This window comes from Homo sapiens, chromosome 17 (assembly GCF_000001405.40).
Source record: "Homo sapiens chromosome 17, GRCh38.p14 Primary Assembly".
Taxonomy (NCBI): Eukaryota; Metazoa; Chordata; class Mammalia; order Primates; family Hominidae; genus Homo; species Homo sapiens.
Window position 1 is genome coordinate 32,907,454 of NC_000017.11, and position 20,523 is coordinate 32,927,976.

General features: G+C 47.0%; 5 annotated features.

Moving 5' to 3' along the window:
* Positions 2,056-6,235: a transcriptional cis regulatory region, noted in NCBI's record as "MYO1D Hub Enh region targeted for CRISPR/Cas9-mediated knockout". NCBI's record gives its function as "positively regulates MYO1D, SPACA3 and TMEM98 gene expression in K562 erythroleukemia cells {active_cell/tissue: K562}" and the evidence as "EXISTENCE:knockout evidence [ECO:0001091][PMID:29507293]".
* Positions 2,567-2,680: a transcriptional cis regulatory region, noted in NCBI's record as "MYO1D Hub CTCF region targeted for CRISPR/Cas9-mediated knockout". NCBI's record gives its function as "positively regulates MYO1D, SPACA3 and TMEM98 gene expression in K562 erythroleukemia cells {active_cell/tissue: K562}" and the evidence as "EXISTENCE:knockout evidence [ECO:0001091][PMID:29507293]".
* Positions 2,568-2,650: a transcriptional cis regulatory region, noted in NCBI's record as "MYO1D Hub Enh region targeted for CRISPR interference". NCBI's record gives its function as "positively regulates MYO1D gene expression in K562 erythroleukemia cells {active_cell/tissue: K562}" and the evidence as "EXISTENCE:mutant phenotype evidence [ECO:0000015][PMID:29507293]".
* Positions 4,752-5,463: a transcriptional cis regulatory region, noted in NCBI's record as "candidate enhancer chr17.1750 targeted for multiplex CRISPR interference". NCBI's record gives its function as "positively regulates TMEM98 gene expression with high confidence in K562 cells {active_cell/tissue: K562}" and the evidence as "EXISTENCE:mutant phenotype evidence [ECO:0000015][PMID:30612741]".
* Positions 10,393-11,024: an enhancer, noted in NCBI's record as "OCT4-NANOG-H3K4me1 hESC enhancer chr17:31244864-31245495 (GRCh37/hg19 assembly coordinates)". NCBI's record gives its function as "activates a minimal SCP1, AML or CMV promoter by ChIP-STARR-seq in naive H9 embryonic stem cells {active_cell/tissue: H9 hESC(naive)}" and the evidence as "EXISTENCE:reporter gene assay evidence [ECO:0000049][PMID:30033119]".

A 20,523-nucleotide genomic window follows, 5' to 3' on the forward strand; every position in this document is an offset into this window, starting at 1 on the left:
TATCTATGATGTAGCACTTATATATATTAATGTGTGTAATAAGTGTACAAGTGTCAAATGTATAATCTGGTCCCAACTGCAGAAAAAAGACAATTATAATAGTATGATAAAATCAAGGGCAGGCATGGTGGCTCACGTCTGTAATCCCTGTACTTTGGGAGGCAGAGGTGGGCGGATCGCTTGAGCTCAGGGATTGGAGACCAGCCTGGGCAACATGGTGAAACCTCATCTCTATTAAAAATAGAACAATTAGCTGGGTGTGGTGGCATGCACCAGTAATCCCAGCTACTTGGGAGTCTGAGGCAGGAGAATCGCTTGAGCCCAGGAAGCAGAGGTGGCAGCAAGCCAAGATTGCACCATTGCACTCCGGCCTTGGCCATGGGAGTGAAACCCTGTCTCAAAAAAAAAAAAAAAAATCACGGTAAGGAGCAAAAGGGATAAATGGGATGATATGCTGTAGATAGGGGTGGGTGGGGAGCCTGGGGGAAGCCTGGGTAGGTGACATGAAGGAGAAGGTCTTAAGAATGGAGAAGGGTTCCTTAGCCCAGAGGCTAAGGAAAAAGCCTGAGCAAAGGCCCTGAGGCAGGCAGGACAGTTCTTGGATTAATTGGAGAAACTAAATGAAGCTGGGACAGCTGGGCTCTAGCAAGCAAGGAAGAAATACAATAGGAGATGAAGCTGGAGGAAAAGACTGGGGCCATGTGATGCAGGGCTTGGGTTTTACCTGGGTACAGAGGGACACCACTGAAGAATTTTAACTGGAGAATTGACATTTTACTTAGGTGTTTTGTTTTCAGACAGAGTCTTTCTATGTTGCCCAGGCTGGTCTTAAGCTCCTGGGCTCAAGCCATCCTCCTGCCTTGACCTCCCAAGTAGCCTGGATTATAGGCATGTACCAACGTACCTGGCTTTATTTTGTTTTGTTGTTGTTGTTGTTGTTTTTAGTTGAGATACAACCTACAGTAAAGTGTACGAACCTTAAGCACACCACAAAGTTCTACATATGTATACCAGATTAAGATACAGAATGGCCCCATCACTGACTTAGGTTTTAGACCTCTGTTGCCGCTGTCAATAATGGATCACAAAGTGTGGAAATGAGAAGATTATTTAGAAATGTTCCATGTCAGTTTCGTAGAGAGGTGATGGTGATCCAGTTGAGTGTGAAAATGGAGAGAAGTGAGAAATTTGAAATGAATTTTGGAGAGAGAATACAACGTGCTCATGGAATGAATATGAGCATGTAGAAAAAAGTACTGATTCCTAGGTTTGGAGCTTGGGCATTGTGGGAAACAGCCATGCAATCTACAGAGATGGAGAAGACTAAACACAGGACAGGTGTTTTGGGGAGAGGAAGAAATTGAGAATTCCATTCTGGACATGCTCATTGTGAAATACCTATGAAACCTGCAAGTGAAGACGTGAAATAGATAGGACTGGGCCCAAAATACAAATCTGGGAGCCATCAGCATCAAAAGGCAATGTATAGATCAGCAGGAATGGATGAGATTACCCAGGAAGATGGGGTAAAAAGCAAAAGAGAAAACTATCCAGGAAAAAGACTGAAAAATTCTAATATTTAAAATCAGACAGTGGAGGAGCCAACAAAGGAAACCAAGGATAAATCTAAGAAAATCAGGAGAGGGTGGTGTCATGGAAGCCAAGAGGGAGAACATGGTCAGACTGGTGTTCACAATCCTGGTGGGAATGTGAGGATATTTATGTCCATTTGGTGACATGGGGGTCATGGTGATCTTGAGAAGTCAACTCAGTGGAGCACAGTGGGTATCAGCGAGATTTGAGCAAGTTGAAGAGAGAACGGGAGGTAGTTAGTAGAGACAGCTTTTTTTCTTATGGTGTTGAGATGAAAGGTGAAATCTAGTTTGAAAGAGAAGAGAGACACAGGCTGGTAACTGGAGAGTCACTTGGTATATAAAGATTTTTAAGATGAGTGATACTAGATTTTAATTGTTCATTGGTGGGAATTCTCTAGCAGAGAGGGAGATATTAATCCAGAAGAAAGTAGAGAAAGCCAAAGGACCTTGAGAAAGTAAAGGGAGATGAGATACAGAGTAGAGGTGAAAGAGAAGATAGATACAAATTTTGGAAGGTTTAGATGTTTGGTGATGAAAACATGGAGTTGATACCTATTTCTTTTTTCTTTTCTAAATGGTACAAGTAAAGCAGAATAGGGGCATAGGAGGTTTAAAGATTAGATATGAAGTTGTTTGAGGGAGTAAGTGAGAGTTGGACACTTACGGACAGATGGATGACTAGGAATAAGTGCCTGTTTGAGATTTGTGATCATGAATCAAAAGCAAAGCCAGTCTTGGGTGACTTTCCCTAACTATGTGCTCCAGTGCCAGCATGGAGAACACGGAGTTTGGGTTCTGCCAAGAGAGCTGGGAAGGAGAGAAGAGCAAGAGAGCAACTCCGTGGTGGCCTATGTGATCCAGGCCAGATGGTAGGACCAGAGGGTGAGAGGAGTGAGAATGGCATGGAGCTCAAGGGAAGCACAGAAGATGTCAGGCCTGTAAACAGAGGCTCCAAGAAGGAATTTCTCTCCCCAGCAATCTTCAACGTTAGCTCACAGATGAGGGCACTTGCTTTAGAAGCAGTGGTGACACCCAGTGACCACTCTTTGAAGTGCACCTTCTTGGTTTTAGGTTGTCAGCAGATCCGGAAGTGTGTGTTTTTTTCCACTTGGGAGGCATCAGAGCCCTCACCATTCTCTCCATGGTTCTCTCTTGCAGGATTCTGTCCCATTGGTCCTGGACATTTCAAGGGGATGGAGAGGCTGCTGCTTAGGGGGGTAACTAGAAGTGGACTGAAGGCAATCTGGGGGCTGTTAGCTCCAGACCCCAGACCTGGCCTTCTCTGCTAGGTTCCTGCTGTCCTGAGACAGATCCTGAATCCTGGGATGGCTTTGGGTATTCTAAAGCCCTGCTTGGATTTAGAAAAATGCCAGGTAGTGACATAATCCTCTTCCAGCCCACAGTTGTCCTGGGGAAATACCATCCTGGCTGACCCAGAACTGTGTGAGGACTCTCTTCTCAGCACCACCTCCCGAAAGTTGACTGTTGCTGGGGTTCTAAGAGGGTTCCACTGTCTCCAGCTCCACTTGACCCAAGCACTGGGATCTGGCTTAGTCTAGAGAGAAACGCAGATTCCTCCCAAAGTCCTGTCAGTCATCAGAGGTACTGGGCATGACTTCTGGGCCAAGAAGTTGGGTGTCCCTTAGTTAGAGGGTATAGGGAAATACAAAGAGGACCAAGACAGGACAGCCCCTTTGCAGCAACCTAAGGCACTTTTACTGTTCTGATCAATTACCCTGTACCAGGACATGCTGTTTCCCTTCCACTTTAAGAGGTTAGTAAATCAGGTTTGAGTTCAAACACAAGAGGGTCACTGAGGCATGGGGTAGGTGAGGGAGGTGGTTTCTAAGGTGGTCAAGAAATGGAGGAAGACTGTTTCTGACTCACCTCTATCCCTCTTCCCCATCTCTTATCTCACACTCCCCGGTTTGAACTGGACTTTGTACTTAGGGCAGCCTGGTGTCGTGGAAGGAGCCTGTGCTGAACTTGCAGTCGGGTCATCCCTTGGCCACATACCTGCTTCCACATCTGTAAAATGGTGATGTGGTGATGGCACATGGTTATGGTGAAAAATTAAACAATGCACATGAAAGTGTTTCTTACACCAACACAATGCTTTGGTTTAAGGCATTACTATTAGATATTTATACCAAGGCAGATTTCACAGACATTAAGGAAAAAGAAAAAAGTTTTATGGCAATGAAATTCCATTAGAGGTGTATACCAGGCCCTGGGGGAACTCATCAGAGGCAAAGTGACCATTGATGTCTTTTCCAAGACTGAGAGAACACAGAAAGAGGTGGGTAAAGGAGAAGATCCACCACTTGGAGTCAGACAGACTTAGCTTCTTATCCTGTATTTGCCAGTTACTAGTTGTGGCATCTCACACAAGTTCTTGAACTTCCCAGATGCTCAGTGTACCCCTGTATAAAGTGGAGATAATTCCTCCCCGCTGACCTGTTGAGACAATTAAATGAAGTGCTGCCTGTAAAGCACCTTAAATAGAGTATGCACTCAGTGAATATGGTATCATGAAAATGAGTTAATTCAGGTCATCCCAAACTAAATATTTTGGACATATGTTATGGGCCAGGCACCAGGCTAGGTGGTGGGTGATTTTGTCTTATAACACAGCTTTTCAGATAGACAGTTCTAGTTCAAATCCTAGATTTACCACTTACCAGCTGTAGAAATGTATTTAACTTCTTCGAGCCCTAGTTTCTTCCTATATAAAGTGAGGGAGAATAATACCTATTTTGAGAGATTATTGTAATAATTATATAATCTATGCAAAGTGCCTAGCACAGTACCTGGCATGAACAAAGTCTCAAAAATGACAGTGATTATAATTAATATGATCATGCTGAAAATTAAAAGTAGGAGATGCTGATGTATCAGATTTAAAGCTGGACGCTTAAATAACTTTATTTATAGCATTAAATCCATCCTTGAACCAATCTTCTCTGCATTAACTAAAATATGGGATTTACTTCCCCTTATACACATCTACACATCACTCCCAAAATACTTAAAGCAAGATATTTCTATTGGCTGTAAAGAGGGACATGGTAAAATACGGAAATGGGCAAGAGAGGACAGCTGTGTTATCTGTCTTTAAAGCTTTTTCAGGGAAGTCTTTTGAAGATTTTAAGTGTTTTAAGCCTCAATTGCCAGATGCATATGCCCTGTGCACATGCCTTTTCCTCTAGGGAAACCCTGTTCAGGGTCTCAATGTCCCCTGGCCCAGCTGCCTTAACTTAGCGCAAATGCAAACTTGCCCTGTATCTCCAGTGGCTCAGAACTGCCCTGCTAGCTCTCAACCCTCCTCCACGCTTTTTCTTTTTCCTTGCTTCCTGGTCCTGCCCCCTCGCTCCAGCCAGACCCACAGCAGTTCTGAGTGTTTGCTGACTTTCACTCCTCCAAGGAGGACGGGCTTTCGCTATGGTCTCTGTCCACGCCCACAGCTTAGAGAAAGCCTGATCAGTGTATACACAACCCCCTTCCTGGCTGGTGGCGCTGTCCTTGGAAAGCCATTTACTAGTCCATAAAAGGGCCTGAGCACTTAAAACAAACATGGACTCGGTCAAACCAGAAATTTAAAATTGCGGCACTTTAATTCAGGTCAACCTTCATTCTCTTTCCAATTCTGGTGCCTTACCCTGTCTGAGTGTTTCCCATGTGCTTAACCCTCCTGCTTCCCAGTGGCTGCCACACCCCAGCGGGCCTGTTGGTGCTGGGTGTGGGTGGAGAGTTCCCATCCCTGCTGTAGAATGACAGTGATGATAGCTAAGCTTTATTTTCACTCCATGCACAGTGCTTACTGAGCACTAAGCTCCAGGCACTGTTCTAGATATTGGGGGTCAGCAGAGACCATGACAATAAAGTCCCTGCCCTTATGGAGCTTATATTCTGGAATGGGAGAAGTCATAAATATATCGCGCAGTGTCAGGTAGTGATACATGCCATTCAGAAATCCAATTCAGGCAGGACATGGTGGCTCATGCCTATAATCCCAGCACTTTGGGAGGCCGAGGTGGGCGGATCACTTGAGCCCAGCAGTTCGAGACCAGCCTGGGCAACATAGAGAGAACCCGTCTCTACATACACACACAAAAATTAGCTGGGTATATGTTGGGGGAAAGGCTTATGGGGTGCCTGTATAAACTGGCTGTAAAAATATGGGACAGTAGGTTGTGAAAAGCCACAAAAGGCCTCTGAGGAGGAAAGCCTTCTTATCGCCATTATGTTCCCATGCTCTGAGCGAGACTTGCTCTCTTATCTATAAACACTGTGTTCAAGAAAAAAGACCCTCCTTTGAAACATTAGAATGTGGCCAGATGTACAGGCTGCTAGTTAAACCCACTCCCACTAACTACTCTCCAATAAGTTAAAGATACACTGTTTGAGCACAAAGGAGATTCATTTAAACCACCACTGCTATAGATTACACGTATGACGCACTGCCTCCCTTTCACTGTTTCGCCTTCAACATCTGCTTCTTAGTTCTAAGTGACTGTACTCAATAAATAGTGCAGAGACCAGAGCTCTGAGCCTTTTACAGCCTCCATTTTACAGTTGTCCCCCTGGCCCACACTCTTTATGCACTCTTAACCTGTATCTTCTCATTCCTTCGTCGCCACTGGACTTTGGGTACCGTACGGGTGGTGTTGAGGCTGGTCTCCAACAGGTATGGTTGCATGCACCTGTGGTCCCACTTACGTGAGAGGCTGAGGCAGGAGGATTGCCTGAGCCCAGGACGTCAAGGCTGCAGTGAGCCGTGATTGCACCACTGCACTCCAGCCTGGGTGGCAGAGCAAGAAAAGAAAAATTCTAAACAAAACAAAACAAAACACCAACCAAACAAAAAAAACCCCACATTTCACAACAGAGCCAGGGGCACATCAATGATGGGAGGTGCTACTTTAGATAGGTTGATCTGGGAAGACTTCTCTGTGGAGGTGACTCTTGTGCAGGTCCCTGAGCAAAAGGAAGGAGGAGCCTTGGGAATAATGGGGGTAAGGATTCCAGGCAGAGGGCATTCCAGGCAGAGGGCACAGCAAATCACTGGAGTAGAATGAGCTTCACATGTTGGAGGAACATCTAGGAGGCCTCATTTTTCTTTTAATGTCATACAGTGATGAGCACTTAAAAAATCTGTGATAAAATATATACAACATAAACTTCCCCATTTAAACCATTTTGAAGTATACAGTTCACTGGAATTAAGTACATTCATGCTGTTACGCAGCTATCACCACAATCCATCTCTAGCACTTTTTAATCATCTTCTCAAACTGAAACTCTGTGCCCATCAACAATGACTCCCCCTTCCTCCCTCCCCCAACCTCTGGCAACCACCATTCTACTTTCTAGGTGTTAGCACTTTAAATGTGTCATCTCATTTCATCCTCAAAACAACTGTAGGCCATGAGTTTTACTGTGATCCCCATTCTACAGATGAGGAAACGTAAACTGAGTGAACTGTCTCAGATCACACGGCCATTAAGTGAGGGAAGGAGGTCTCCATTCACAGTGCTTCTGGCTCAGGCTCCTGCTTGTAACTGCGTACCTGGTAGGGGTTTAGGATGTCCTTCTGCCGCCCCTCTGAAAACATAGAGGTGAGTTGAGAGAGTTTCATGTGGATTACAGACAATGTGAGAAGCTTTTCTGGTTGGGACAGGAGGGGGTTTGTTGTACCTCACTGGTCCTGTCTGCCTGGAAGGAAGAGGCTCTTGCCCAGTGACGAGGATTGGGGAGAGAAGGGAGAGTAGGTAACCAACATCTGTCTGCTATTCTCCTTTTCCATCTTTGTCTTCTGAGCTGTCTTTCAAGGGGTATCAGCTGCTCTGAGTGGATAAGCATGGGCATCTTTATTGCTTGGTGTCCAGTCAGCCAGGTAGCACTACCACCACTTATTTATTACTAGGTTATAACACAGTGCTAGGTGCTGCAAAGAGATTCATCCAGGAGCTACGCATGACACAGATACAGCTATGCAACAGATATCAGAAGGAAAAAGCAAAACAAAAGGAAATCAAGATGAGACTAGCCAAAAAAGTACAGTACTTGAGTTACATCTGGACCAGAGTAAGTCTGTTTTTGATGATGGAGTGTGTGCAAAATTGGGATGGAGTGGCTCTATTTGTTGCAGCTGGAGCCATGACCACCTGTCCTGTTCCAATAACCAGGTTGTTGGAAGAGCTATCAGTTTCCTGGTTTGAGTGGTCTTGCTTTGGTACCAGGAGGTGTTGAGTTTCACTTCCTGCCTTCCCACATATAAGCTGAAAGAGCTCAGGCAAGTTGCCTTACCCTTCCAAGGCTATTTCTTCCTTTGCAAACATAATCATACCTACTTTTTAGGGTTGGTGAGAAGATCAAAAGAGATAAGGTGTGTCGGATGTCTAATCAGTGTTTGCTACATAGTAAGTGCTCAACAAATATTCATTCCTTGCTGAGTAGAGCACGAGTATGCACCCAGTGGCCAGGAGCCAAGCCTTCTTCCTCCTTATCATGGTCAGCACCATTTCTGACCTGCTGGCTTGTCCTCTCTAATCACTGGATTCAGCTTTCAATTTGGGGACCCTTGTTACACACTTTGCTGTTCAGACTTAGTGAGGAGAGGCCTTAGCTAGGGGTATTTGAATTTTGGGGAACAATCCAGCAATCATACCTCTTACCTATTTGGGGACAACCTCCTCACATGCAGTATATTGGAAGGCAGGATACTGCCTGTGCCTCACCTCCCACAGTGGAAGCAGACAGGGTGAGGTCCTACCCAGGATTTGGGATCTAGAATGTAGGATAATGGAGAGGGGCACTTAGCCCCTAGAGCCTGCCCAGTTCTTAATCTTGGTCTTCAGTCTCCTGCTGATTCTGTGGGCACCCTCTTGTCCTTTCAACAAGTCCCCTTTCCTCGTGGGACAATCATTTTCTGTTGCTTGCAATTCAGTCTTGTGCAACACTGAGGTCTTCTCAGATCAATCCTGAGAGAGATTTCAAGGGGCCTTGGGATGTTAGAACAATGGGAGACAGCTGGCTAGAAAAGGTACTGGGCACAACCTTGGTACAACTCTTTCCTCCCAGCAGCAGGTTAGTGGGTGGTTAATTGGGGCATGCATACTGTCAGCTCCAGGCAGTCGCTGAGCTGTTTATTCACTTGTTTATATGTTTGCTTGTTTTTTGGTAAGTGTATGTCTTTTCTATGTGTGCTTCAACCTCCTCAAGATTAAAGCTTTCTTTTACATCTCTTGTACAGAGTCACAGAACCCCAGACCTGGAAGAGGCCACAAGAGATCATGTGGTTTTAGCTTCTTACCTCAAGGCCACCAAATGTTTAACCACCCAACACAAATAGAAATAGTTCGTCTCAGAGACTCTCCAAGAAATGGACACATTTAATGTCCCCAGTCACCCATTCCAACGCTGGCTGCTTTGCTTTGAGCCTATTTTCCTTACACAGATTGTAATGCTTGTAGCTTCTTCATGAAAGCACTTCAGAGGATTATAAAATCATCCCTCAGCCTTCTTTTCCCTGAGAGCCAATGGTGGGAAAACCCAGCTACCTACAGGTCCAGGCTCTTACCAAAAGGGTGAGCTGTGAGTGTGTGCACATATGTTGTAGGGGCAATGGGGTAGTGCTGGGTCTGGAAAGCAAGCCTCGGACAACACCTGCCCTCTCCTGCTGACTGTTGCTACTGGTGGAATGTAGGCTGTGTTTTTGAGAGATCTTATTAATTTTTCAGGGAAGCTGGAAATCTAGAATTATAAGTGAGAGTCCTGATTTTTTAAAATGTTGGCAACTAATCTGATTTTTAAAAACCATGAACCGGGCCAGGCGTGGTGGCTCACACCTGTAATCCCAGCACTTTGGGAGGCCAAGGCAGGAAGATCACTCGGGGCCAGGTATTCGAGACCAGCCTGGCCAACATGGTGAAAACCCATTTCTACTAAAAATACAAAAAATTAGCCAGGCATGGTGGTGCATGCTTATAATCCTAGCTACTCGAGTGGCCGAGGCATGAACTCAGGAGGCAGAGGTTGCAGTGAGCCTGAGGCAGGAGAATAGGGTCTGGAGGCAGGGAACCCAAGGCTGATTCACCCTGAATTCCTAGAACTAAATCAAAAGGAAAACCCCAACTTTCAACACCTAAGCAACAAAAGGACCAGAGGCTACTCCCTTTGCAAACCACCCTGCCTTTCTGCTTGGCAGATAGAAAATTGAAAGTACCTCTGATAGATTGCTTTCCAAAACCAATCAGACATTTGCATAGGAGGGTAACTTTGTAACTTCACTTCAGCCTCTGATTGTGGAAAGCAACCAATTAGACTGATTGCAGGCCACCACTTCATTTGCATGGGGTGAATACCAAGTGCCCAATAGGAAACCTCTAGAGGGTGTTTGGACCCCAGAAAATTCTGTAATGGGGGCTCTGGAGCCCCTATGCTTGGGCCCGCTCCCACCCTGTGGTGTGTGCTTTCATTTTCAATAAATCTCTGCTTTTGTTGCTTCATTCTTTCCTTGCTTAGTGCATTTTGTCTAATTCTTTGTTCAAAATGCCAAGAACCTGGAGACCCTCCACCGGTAACATATTTTGGTGAGCCAGCCAAAAGGTAAGCCCAAAGTTTGGGGTTTATTTTTCTCCTTTCTGCTCCATACAGGGTAATCTCTCTGTCTCTCTCCCTCTCTCTCTCTCTCTCTCTCTCTCTCTTTTTTTTCCTTTGCAACTCGGGTCCCTTGGTGAGCAGTGCCTAAGCATGGAGGCAACTCTAGGTCTCTGGCTGTGGCAGGTGAACTGAAAGGGTTTTCCATGTGGAGGCACCTAACTGCCACCGCCTGGTTTGCTTAAGGGACCTGGGTATTTTTCCTTTCTTTCTTTTTCAGTCTTTCAGTGGCTGTTTCCTAGCAGCTCCTTGGTAATTGAGGGCAACTGGCTGGGACCACTCTCCAGTGTTGCCTGAAGGCAAAGGAGTGAATGGGGATAACTGCCCTGCCCAGAAGCAGGAAGGACTCTTCTGTCTTTTCTGGTTGTGGTCCCTGATCGCTACATGTGGCACAGCTTGGGGCGAACTCACAAGTGTTTCAGGCGACTTAAACCTTTTCTTATGCTAAATTCTTCCCTTCTCCTACTCGACTGGCTAAGGGCAAAAGAAACCCACTCAGCCTCCAGTTCCTGTCATTAAAGTTCATGGCTATCTCTAGTGGAATGAAGAGCATGGGAAATTGTGGCCTTAACAAATTATAAGAGTGCTGTAAGTCCAGGCCTTCATCCAAGGATAAAAGGAAAGCTCATAGTAGGCCATGACCTCTGGAGGGAAAACATGCAAAGTGGCACTGGTGCCCATCTAAGGTCAGAGACATCTGACACTCTAAGATTGGACCCCAAAGGGGGACACTCTGGGGGATCCTCTGGACCACAACCTCTCCAAAGAGAACGCCCTCGGCAGAGGTTCTTAGGCCTAGTACTAAGCCCTCGTTAGAATTTTCTCTTGCAGTTGCGATACTGTTTGGCCCCAATATTGTTTGGAATCTGGAGTTTGCTGTTGAATGGGAAAGTAGGATGGAGTTGCATGTATCCAGGCTTTAGTGCTGCTGTCCTAAGCAGGGTTGGGTCTGGTTAATATGTGATGCTCTCCTTTGGTGCTGTTTGGCCCCAGTGTTCTTTGGAATCTGGGGCGGTCTGGCCTTTAAAAATCAAACTGCTTTACCTGAAATTTTGGTTCACGGCCTTCATTGGATTACCTATTGGGGCAAACAAAGTAAAACTGGCAAGCTTGTATTGCTATCTCATGGCTAGGATTCCAAGGTAAAAGGTATTGGATCTTCATTTATTTGTGTGTAGTGTGTATACATGTCTAGATGTGTTTATTTGTATGTATGCTTATTGTTATATGTTGTGTCTACCAAACTGGCTTGTAAGTAAAAGAGCCCTCATAAATTAAATAAATAAGTTTAAGCAATGTTCAAGTTCATGTGACTTAAGTATAACTTTACTAAACAAGCTGCTTTTAAAATTATTGGTAAAATAAAAATAGAAATGCCTTCAGAACTGTCAGCATACACTTTTGTCTGGATTTTATATTTGTCTCTGCTAGATATTTTGAGGTGTCCAGGTTTGGCATAGAAAGTTATAAAACTATAAACCCAGCCAAAACAAAGTGATCTTGGTTTGCGTGCCCTTTTTATTGACAAACATGAGTAATTTAATGTTGTCAGCTAAATCTTGTGATTTATTAGCAAAAATACCTATGTATTTAACTTTGAGACTCTTACTTAGGTTTAGGTGAGCACCTGATGTTCACTGGCTATTCAAAACGTAGTTAACAAGGAAATAACTAACTTTAAATGATAGCATCTAATATCTCAGTTTACAGAAGTTATCTAGATAAATGTAAGTGAAAGAATTGAGTATATGTAAATGGGATAAATGTTTTATGTAAATGTTTTGTGTAAATTAAAATCTTAAAATTATTTTTGATGCTCGTTGAATATGTGGGTCATTTCCAATTAAGAAAGGGTTGTGGTATGGGGAAATATATTTTTAAAAACTGTGGGATTGTTCTTATCTATAAATGCCCATGTCTGATCGTTCAAGATTTCTTGCTTTTTAGTGTTTTGCTAAAGTTTTAGGTTACTAAGGACAAAATGTGCCAAAAAAGTTTGTGATATTAGTGAGAAAAATAATAATTTTGTCTAATTCAGAAGTTATCTAAAAGTTAGTTCAAATTACAGATTTGAAAAAGTTGTTTATGAAACAATGTAGTAAGGAACCAGTAAGTAGGGAAGAAACATGTGGAAAAGTTTAGATAATAAAATATTATTTAAAACCTCATAGAGAATTGGAGAAATTTGGCTAATTAACATTTTCATAGTTAAAGCTCTTAGTCTTGATTAAAGTAAAATAAGAAATATTGTAAAAAAATGCATTGGCAGTTTGGCAATTCTTTTTTAATATAGTTAAGCCGTGTTTTTCTGTGTGGAGTCAAATTTCATATACATACTTGCATTGCTTCACACTATGTTTACTGTTTTGCATGGATAGTGCTGGCACTGGAGTACTTACTGATTATGTGCCTGGAGTTAATTTTTTTTTTTTTTTTTTGATGGAATCTAGCTCTGTCACTGAGGCTGGAGTGCAGTGGCATGATCTCGGCTCACTGTAACCTCTGCCTCTTGGGTTCAAGCTATTCTCCTGCCACAGCCTCCTGAGTAGCTGGGATTACGGGTGCGTGCCACCATGCCTGGTTAATTTTTGTATTTTTTAGTAGAGCTGTGGTTTCACCATGTTGGCCAGGCTGGTCTTGAACTCCTGACCTCAAGTGATCCACCCGCCTTGGCCTCCCAAAGTGCTGGGATTACAGGCGTGAAGCACCACGGCTGGCTGAGAGTGTATTTCCTGATTGCACCGGATATGTGGTGATATTGGTGAGCTTAAGGATACTGAATTGTATATCAGGAATAAAATATTCATTATGTGGGTTTTTCTGGCGGGGAGCTCTGGGTAACACTGCTGCCTCCCGGGTAGATTGAGTAGGAGAAATTTAGGGTTGGTTTCCTGTTTGTTTGTGCTTCTAATTTTTATTTGTTTGCTGTTTACGCTCCTCTGGGCTTTGCTTATGTACGCATATATATAAAACCATGATTTTTTTTAGTTTCTAGTGGAAGGCTTTTATTCGGTTCTATGAATAGTTATTTTGTTTCCTATGCATTTCTAGCAAGTCATCATTTGTTCCATTTGTCTGGAATTTCTAGGCTACCTTTGTTGGGTTCACAGGAATTGATGGAACACACCAGCTTGTTAACTTTAAACTAACTTTTTGGATATTAGATTCCCTGATACTTTAAGTGTATTGAGTATGCTTTCAAGTCATATTTTTCTCTCTCTGCCTAATTTGTCCAGACTTTGTAAACTATTTGTGAATATTCCTTTTTTTTTTTTTTTTTCTTCTTGAGATGGAGTCTTGCTCTGTTACCCAGGCTGGAGTGCATTGGTGCGATCTCGGCTCACTGCAACCTCTGCCTCCTGGGTTCAAGTGATTCTAGTGCCTCAGCCTCCCAAGTGCTGGGATTATAGGCACGAGCCGCCGCGCCCGGCCTGTGAACATTCTTAATTCATGGCAATGTTTGTGTTTGCATATAGTTGAGCCAGGGTCACTAGGGCTGCTCAGGGAGAGAGAACCCAGAAACCTGATACGCAGCAAAAGGGTAAGAATTTCATACCAGTCGGACCTCTGGCCTCTCTTTCTCTGTGCAAACCGGTTGAATGAATGGTAAAAGATTATAAGAAGGCATGGGAATGTAAATTTTTGTAAGCCTTTAGCATATTTAATAGGCTTCCCAAAATCAAATTTCAGCTTACATATTTAGTTACATGGGAAGCATTGTCAAAATAAAAAAATGTTTAATTTTCTTCAGGTTATATTTCAGTGACTATTAATATATGTTACAAAATTGTATGGGATTTCTAAAATTCTAAATATGTCTGAGTATATGCTATCATTCATAATTATGTTTATTATGTTAACTTACTGTAGACCACAGAAATAACCAAATTTCTTTTTTTTTTTTTTTTTTCCCAAGGCAGAAGAATTTTTCTTAGTACAGAACAAAATGAAAAGTCTCCCATGTCTACTTCTATCCACACAGACCCGGCAACCATCCGATTTCTCAATTTTTTCCCCACCCTTCCCGCCTTTCTATTCCACAAAACCGCCATTGTCATCATGGCCCATCCCCAATGAGCCGCTGGGCACACCTCCCAGACGGGGTCGCGGCCGGGCAGAGGGGCTCCTCACTTCCCAGTAGGGGCGGCCGGGCAGAAGCGCCCCTCACCTCCCGGATGGGGCGGCTGGCCGGGCGGGGGGCTGACCCCCCCACCACCCTCCCGGACGGGGCGGCTGGCCAGGCAGAGGGGCTCCTCACTTCCCAGTAGGGGCGGCCGGGCAGAGGTGCCCCTCACCTCCTGGATAGGGCGGCTGGCAGGGCGGGGGGCTGTCCCCCCCACCTCCCTCCCGGACGGGGCGGCTGGCCGGGCAGAGGGGTCCTCACTTCCCAGTAGGGGCGGCCGGGCAGAGGCGCCCCTCACCTCCCGGACGGGGCGGCCGGCCGGAAGGGGGGCTGACCCCCCCACCTCCCTCCCGGACGGGGCGGCTGGCCGACCCCCCCCCCCCGCCTCCCTCCCGGACGGGGCGGCTGGCCGGGCAGAGGGGCTCCTCACTTCCCAGTAGGGGCGGCCGGGCAGAGGCGCCCCTCACCTCCCAGACGGGGCGGCTGGCCAGGCGGGGGGCTGATCCCCCCACCTCCCTCCCGGACGGGGCGGCTGGCCGGGCGGGGGGCTGACCCCCCCCACCTCCCTCCCAGACGGGGCGGCTGGCCGGGTGGGGGGCTTACCCCCCCACCTCCCTCCCGGATGGGGCGGCTGGCCAGGCGGGGGGCTGAACCCCCCACCTCCCTCCCGGGCGGGGCGGCTGGCCAGGCAGAGGGGCTCCTCACTTCCCAGTAGGGGCGGCCGGGCACAGGCGCCCCTCACCTCCCGGACGGGGCGGCTGGCCAGGCGGGGGGCTGATCCCCCCACCTCCCTCCCGGACGGGGCGGCTGGCCGGGCGGGGGGCTGACCCCCCACCTCCCTCCCGGACGGGGCGGCTGGCCGGGCGGGGGGCTGACCCCCCCACCTCCCTCCTGGATGGGGCGACTGGCCGGGCAGAGGGGCTCCTCACTTCCCAGTAGGGGCGGCCGGGCAGAGGAGCCCCTCACCTCCCGGACGGGGCGGCTGGCCGGGCGGGGGGCTGACCCCCCCACCTCCCTCCCGGACGGGGCGGCTGGCCGACCCCCACCCCCCCGCCTCCCTCCCGGACGGGGCGGCTGGCCGGGCAGAGGGGCTCCTCACTTCCCAGTAGGGGCGGCCGGGCAGAGGAGCCCCTCACCTCCCGGACGGGGCGGCTGGCTGGGCGGGGGGCTGACCCCCCCCACCTCCCTCCCGGACGGGGTGGCTGCCGGGCGGAGACGCTCCTCACTTCCCAGACGGGGTGGTTGCCGGACGGAGGGGCTCCTCACTTCTCAGACGGGGCGGTTGCCAGGCAGAGGGTTTCCTCACTTCTCAGACGGAGCGGCCGGGCAGAGACGCTCCTCACCTCCCAGACAGGGTTGCGGCCCAGCAGAGGCGCTCCTCACATCCCAGATAGGGCGGTGGGGCAGAGGTGCTCCCCACATCTCAGACGATGGGCGGCCGGGCAGAGACGCTCCTCACTTCCTAGATGGGATGGCGGCCGGGCAGAGACGCTCCTCACTTTCCAGACTGGGCAGCCAGGCAGAGGGGCTCCTCATATCCCAGACGATGGGTGGCCAGGCAGAGACGCTCCTCACTTCCCAGACGGGGTGGCGGCCGGGCAGAGGCTGCAATCTCGGCTCTTTGGGAGGCCAAGGCAGGCGGCTGGGAGGTGGTTGTAGCGAGCCGAGATCACGCCGCTGCACTCCAGCCTGGGCACCATTGAGCACTGAGTGAACGAGACTCCATCTGCAATCCCGGCACCTCGGGAGGCCGAGGCTGGCGGATCACTCGCGGTTAGGAGCTGGAGACCAGCCCGGCCAACAGAGCGAAACCCCGTCTCCACCAAAAAAAAACGAAAACCAGTCAGGCGTGGCGGCGCGCGCCTGCAATCGCAGGCACTCGGCAGGCTGAGGCAGGAGAATCAGGCAGGGAGGTTGCAGTGAGCCGAGATGGCAGCAGTACCGTCCAGCTTTGGCTCGGCATCAGAGGGAGACCGTGGAGGGAGAGGGAGGGGGAGGGGGAGGGGGAGGGGGAGAGACCAAATTTCTTTGTATAAAAGTGTTAACCCAAGTGGAACAAAAATTAGTTGAGTACCAAGAAAATACTTTGCCAGATTTGCATGCTAAATCAGCGGATACTAAAATTGTTTAGATATACAATTTGAATGAACTCCATGGTCTAAGTCAAATTACCTATGATAACCCATCAGTTGTCAGTGCTATACAGCTAAACTGGAGAAACAACTGGTATTCAAGATGACGTAAGTCCGATGTTAAGCATGGACTCATGGAGAACCAGGACAGCAGCCTTGCCCTTCCTGAGTCCTTAAAGCTTTTGTTATTCAAGGTTATGCACTCCATGACTCATCATGGAAAAGATAAAATAATCCAAATTAAATATATATTGGTGTGCTGACTTATACATTGCTAAAGTAGTTTATAACCAATGTTTGGTTTGTCAAATCCATATTCCTGGGAAGACAATCAAATCTTCAAGTACATTTGGCTACCTCATGGGCCATTTAAACATTTCAATTGCCATTTTCAATGCATGTTTCTGGTTGTAAAAAAGCTTTCCTATGCAAGAGGGCTGATGTTATAACAGTAGATTATTATGCTACAGTGTATTTTCACCAGGTAAAGAAAGCTTTTTATGGGTCACTGAGGACAATCAACCCCTTCACAATCTAGAACCCAAAGATTGGGTCTTCTGAGAATATCTACTGTAAAGGCTATAGTTACACAACAGATTTTAAATTCTTTTGTGAAGGTTACGATAGAATCGGCTGAACAGAGAAGTATCTGTGCAGCTGCTGGCACTTGTGGCTTATGGAGAAATACATCAAATGAAGATTATAGAGATTTAGTTGTAGGGGATTAACGAAGAGATTTCTTAGTTAAGTGAGTAGATTCTTTAGCACATTCTTTGATTTAATTTTAGGTGGTTTGGTTTATGGGGATCCTTGGTATGAAGTATGCTCCAAACTCTTAGTATTATCCTCCCAGTAGTCATAATAATAGTCTCCCTGGTGCGCTGTATTATCTCAAAGGCTTTAAATGCTTGCATTCAGCCATCTCTAGAATGTCAAATGGTCTCTTTTCAAGTGGAATGACAAGAGCTGAAAGAAGTGCATGACCAGGAGGATACCATAACCTATGAATGATGTGGTGAGACTGGAAACCCAAAATGATGGCAAGTGAGTGTGGTGCTAAGGCCTTAAATTTTGGTCACACTCTCACCCAAGTGAGAACCTGACCAAAAAGGGAGAATTTTTTTAACAAAATTATGAGAGGCCAGTGTTTTGGACTGACATCATGTGCTAGGCCCCAGCAAACCAAACAAACCAAAACACATAGATCCTAAAACAGACCAGGTTTTGTTTTTCTCCTGCAAACAGGATGTTCCACCATAAGGAGGTACCCTCTACTCAGTCCTTGTTCCCACTGTACAAAACTCACTGTTGTTTTACTGTTTCCCAGTGGGTTTCAAGACCAAATAAGTTCATTTATGATGGTGGTAGTGACATGAATGACTAAAGGTTTGGTCAATCTCTCAAAATTGAGAAAATGACCAAAAGGGGGAAATTGTTAAAGCAAATTAAATATAGCCTGAGAAGGACTCCGTATTTCTATATTGGAGTCTCTGTGGATGAACGGTAACCTAACTTAGGAATATGTGCCTGTAAAAATAGCTGAGTCTTGGCCAATCCCAGCAACCCCAAATCAGGCCAGGAGATAAGGTACTTAATAAAACGTGGAAGTGCTCTGGATAATAGTGGCCATTTTTTTATTGCCTTCTTCCAAACTTATGGAATCACTTCCTTTGTAGTAATTAGCAGAATGTTTCAATTCATCTCCATAATGAACATTCCTGACAGCATAAGTATCCACCCCCTGAAGTTCCTGTTAAATCTTTTAACCATATTCATTTCCTTTCACATAGAGACCATCAAGCTTCAGATGATCATGTGACAAAGTTTCCAGTCAGTTCCAAGTGAAGACACCACCCCTGGCCATCAGGATGCCACACTGTCTCCACTAGACAGAGTAGGGCAAGAGTTCCATGATCTCCAGTAGGTAGGAACTACGCCCCAAGTTGGCATAAAGCAGTTACAGTTCCTCTGCATCCCATAAAGATTTATGGGGGTCATGTCTCTCAGGAGAGAGATGAGGCAGGAGAATAGGGTCTGGAGGCAGGAAACCTAAGGGTTCACCTGACTTCCTAGAACTAAATCAAAAGGAAAACCCCAACTTTCCGCACCTAAGTAACAAACGGACCAGAGACTACTCCCTTTGCAACCCCCACTCCCCACTTTCTGCTTGGCAGATGGAAAATCTTTTGAAAGTACCTCTGATTGCCTTTCCGCAACCAATCCTGCGTTTGCATAGAAGTGTAACTTTGTAACTTCACTTCAGCCTCTGATTGGTTGTGGAAAGCAACCAGTCAGACTGATTGCGGCCAAATATTCTTTTGCATAGGAGTGTAACTTTGTAACTTCACTTTAGCCTCTGATTGGTTGTGGAAAGTAACCGATCAGACTGATTGCGGGCCAAATCTTCTTTTGCATAGGAGTGCAACCTTTGTAACTTCACTTCAGCCTCTGATTGGTTGCTTTCCACAACCAATCAGACTAATTGTGGCACCACTTCATTTACATGGGGTGAACGCCAAGTGGCCAATGGGAAACCTCTAGGAGGTATTTGGACCCCAGAAGATTCTACAGCAGGGGCTCTTGAGCCCATATGCAGGGGCCTGCTCCCACCTTGTGGAATGCACTTTTGTTTTCAATAAATCTCTGCTTTTGTTGCTTCATTCTTTCTTTACTTGCTTTGCTTGTGCCTTTTGTCTAATTCTTTGTTCAAAATGACAAGAACAGGCCGGGTGCGGTGGCTCATGCCTATAATCCCAGCACTTTGGGAAGCTGAGGTGGGTGGATCACCTGAGGTCAGGAGTTCCAGACCAGCCCGGCCAACGTGGCGAAACCCCGTCTCTACTAAAAATAACAAAAAAAATTAGTGGGACGTGGTGGCGCACACCTGTAATCCCAGCTACTTGGGGGGCTGAGGCAGGAGAATCGCTTGAACCCAGGAGGCAGAGGTTGCAGTGAGCTGAGATCGTGCCATTGCACTCCAGCCTGGGCAACAGAGCCAGACTCTGTTTCAAAAAATAAATAAATAAATAAATAAATAAATAAATAAAGGCAAGAACCTGGACACCCTCCACCCGTAAACAGCCAAGACTGTGCCACAGCACTCCAGCCTGGGCGACTGACTGAGACTCTGTCTCAAAAAAATTAAAATAAAACAACAAAAGTATGAACCAAAAAAACCACCTCTGTGGGCTGGATGTGGCCTTGGGGGTACCAGTTTGCAGACCCTGTGTCAAGCGGCCTAGGACCCAATCTGTATCCTTTGTTAACTGTCACCGATACTGACCTCAGACCTGGACCACTGGGATCCTGCCCTGAACCCCGTGCTTTAGTTGGCCCACTCCAGCTGGAGCGTATGTTCCCTTCTAGATCATGCTCCTGGTACCCTGGACTCCGGAAATCCCTGTGTAAACAGCCCTGAGCCTGCTTCCAAGGTCTGACTTCCATCCACCCAGGGCAGCCTGCCCTGCCTGGCCTGAGTATCGTTAGAATGAAGGATGGCAGGGTAGGGGGTGTGTGTTTGCCTGAACCAGTAGACCCCCTTCAGTATGTATGGGATGGAGTCGTGTGGGAATAGAAGCAGCAAGACTACTAGCAAGGGCTCTGCATTTGTACTCTTGCCCCTGGCTAGGCAGTCGCCAGGGGTGGGCCTGCTTCTCACTGACCCGTGGGTCAGGCTGTAAATAAGAGCGACCCTCGATTCACTCTTTACCCTGGGCCAGGCAGTCCGATGCATCCTGCATCCCATCATTCCTAATACCAACTCTGAGGATGCTGACAAGCAGCAGCCCCGTTTTACAGACCGAGGCACAAAGGCTGAACTAAGTTGTCCATAGCTAGTGAGTGGCAGAGGCAGGGTTTCAATGGGACAGTCCGTGGCGGAGCACACTGGCTCCGCCGCCAGCCCCCCTGCGGTACCCATCCGCGCTCGCCGCCTGGGACCGCCAGCCCGGGGCGGGGCGCAGGCAGGGACCCTCCGCTCCCCTCTCCGTCTGCCGCCCGGACGGGCCACCGC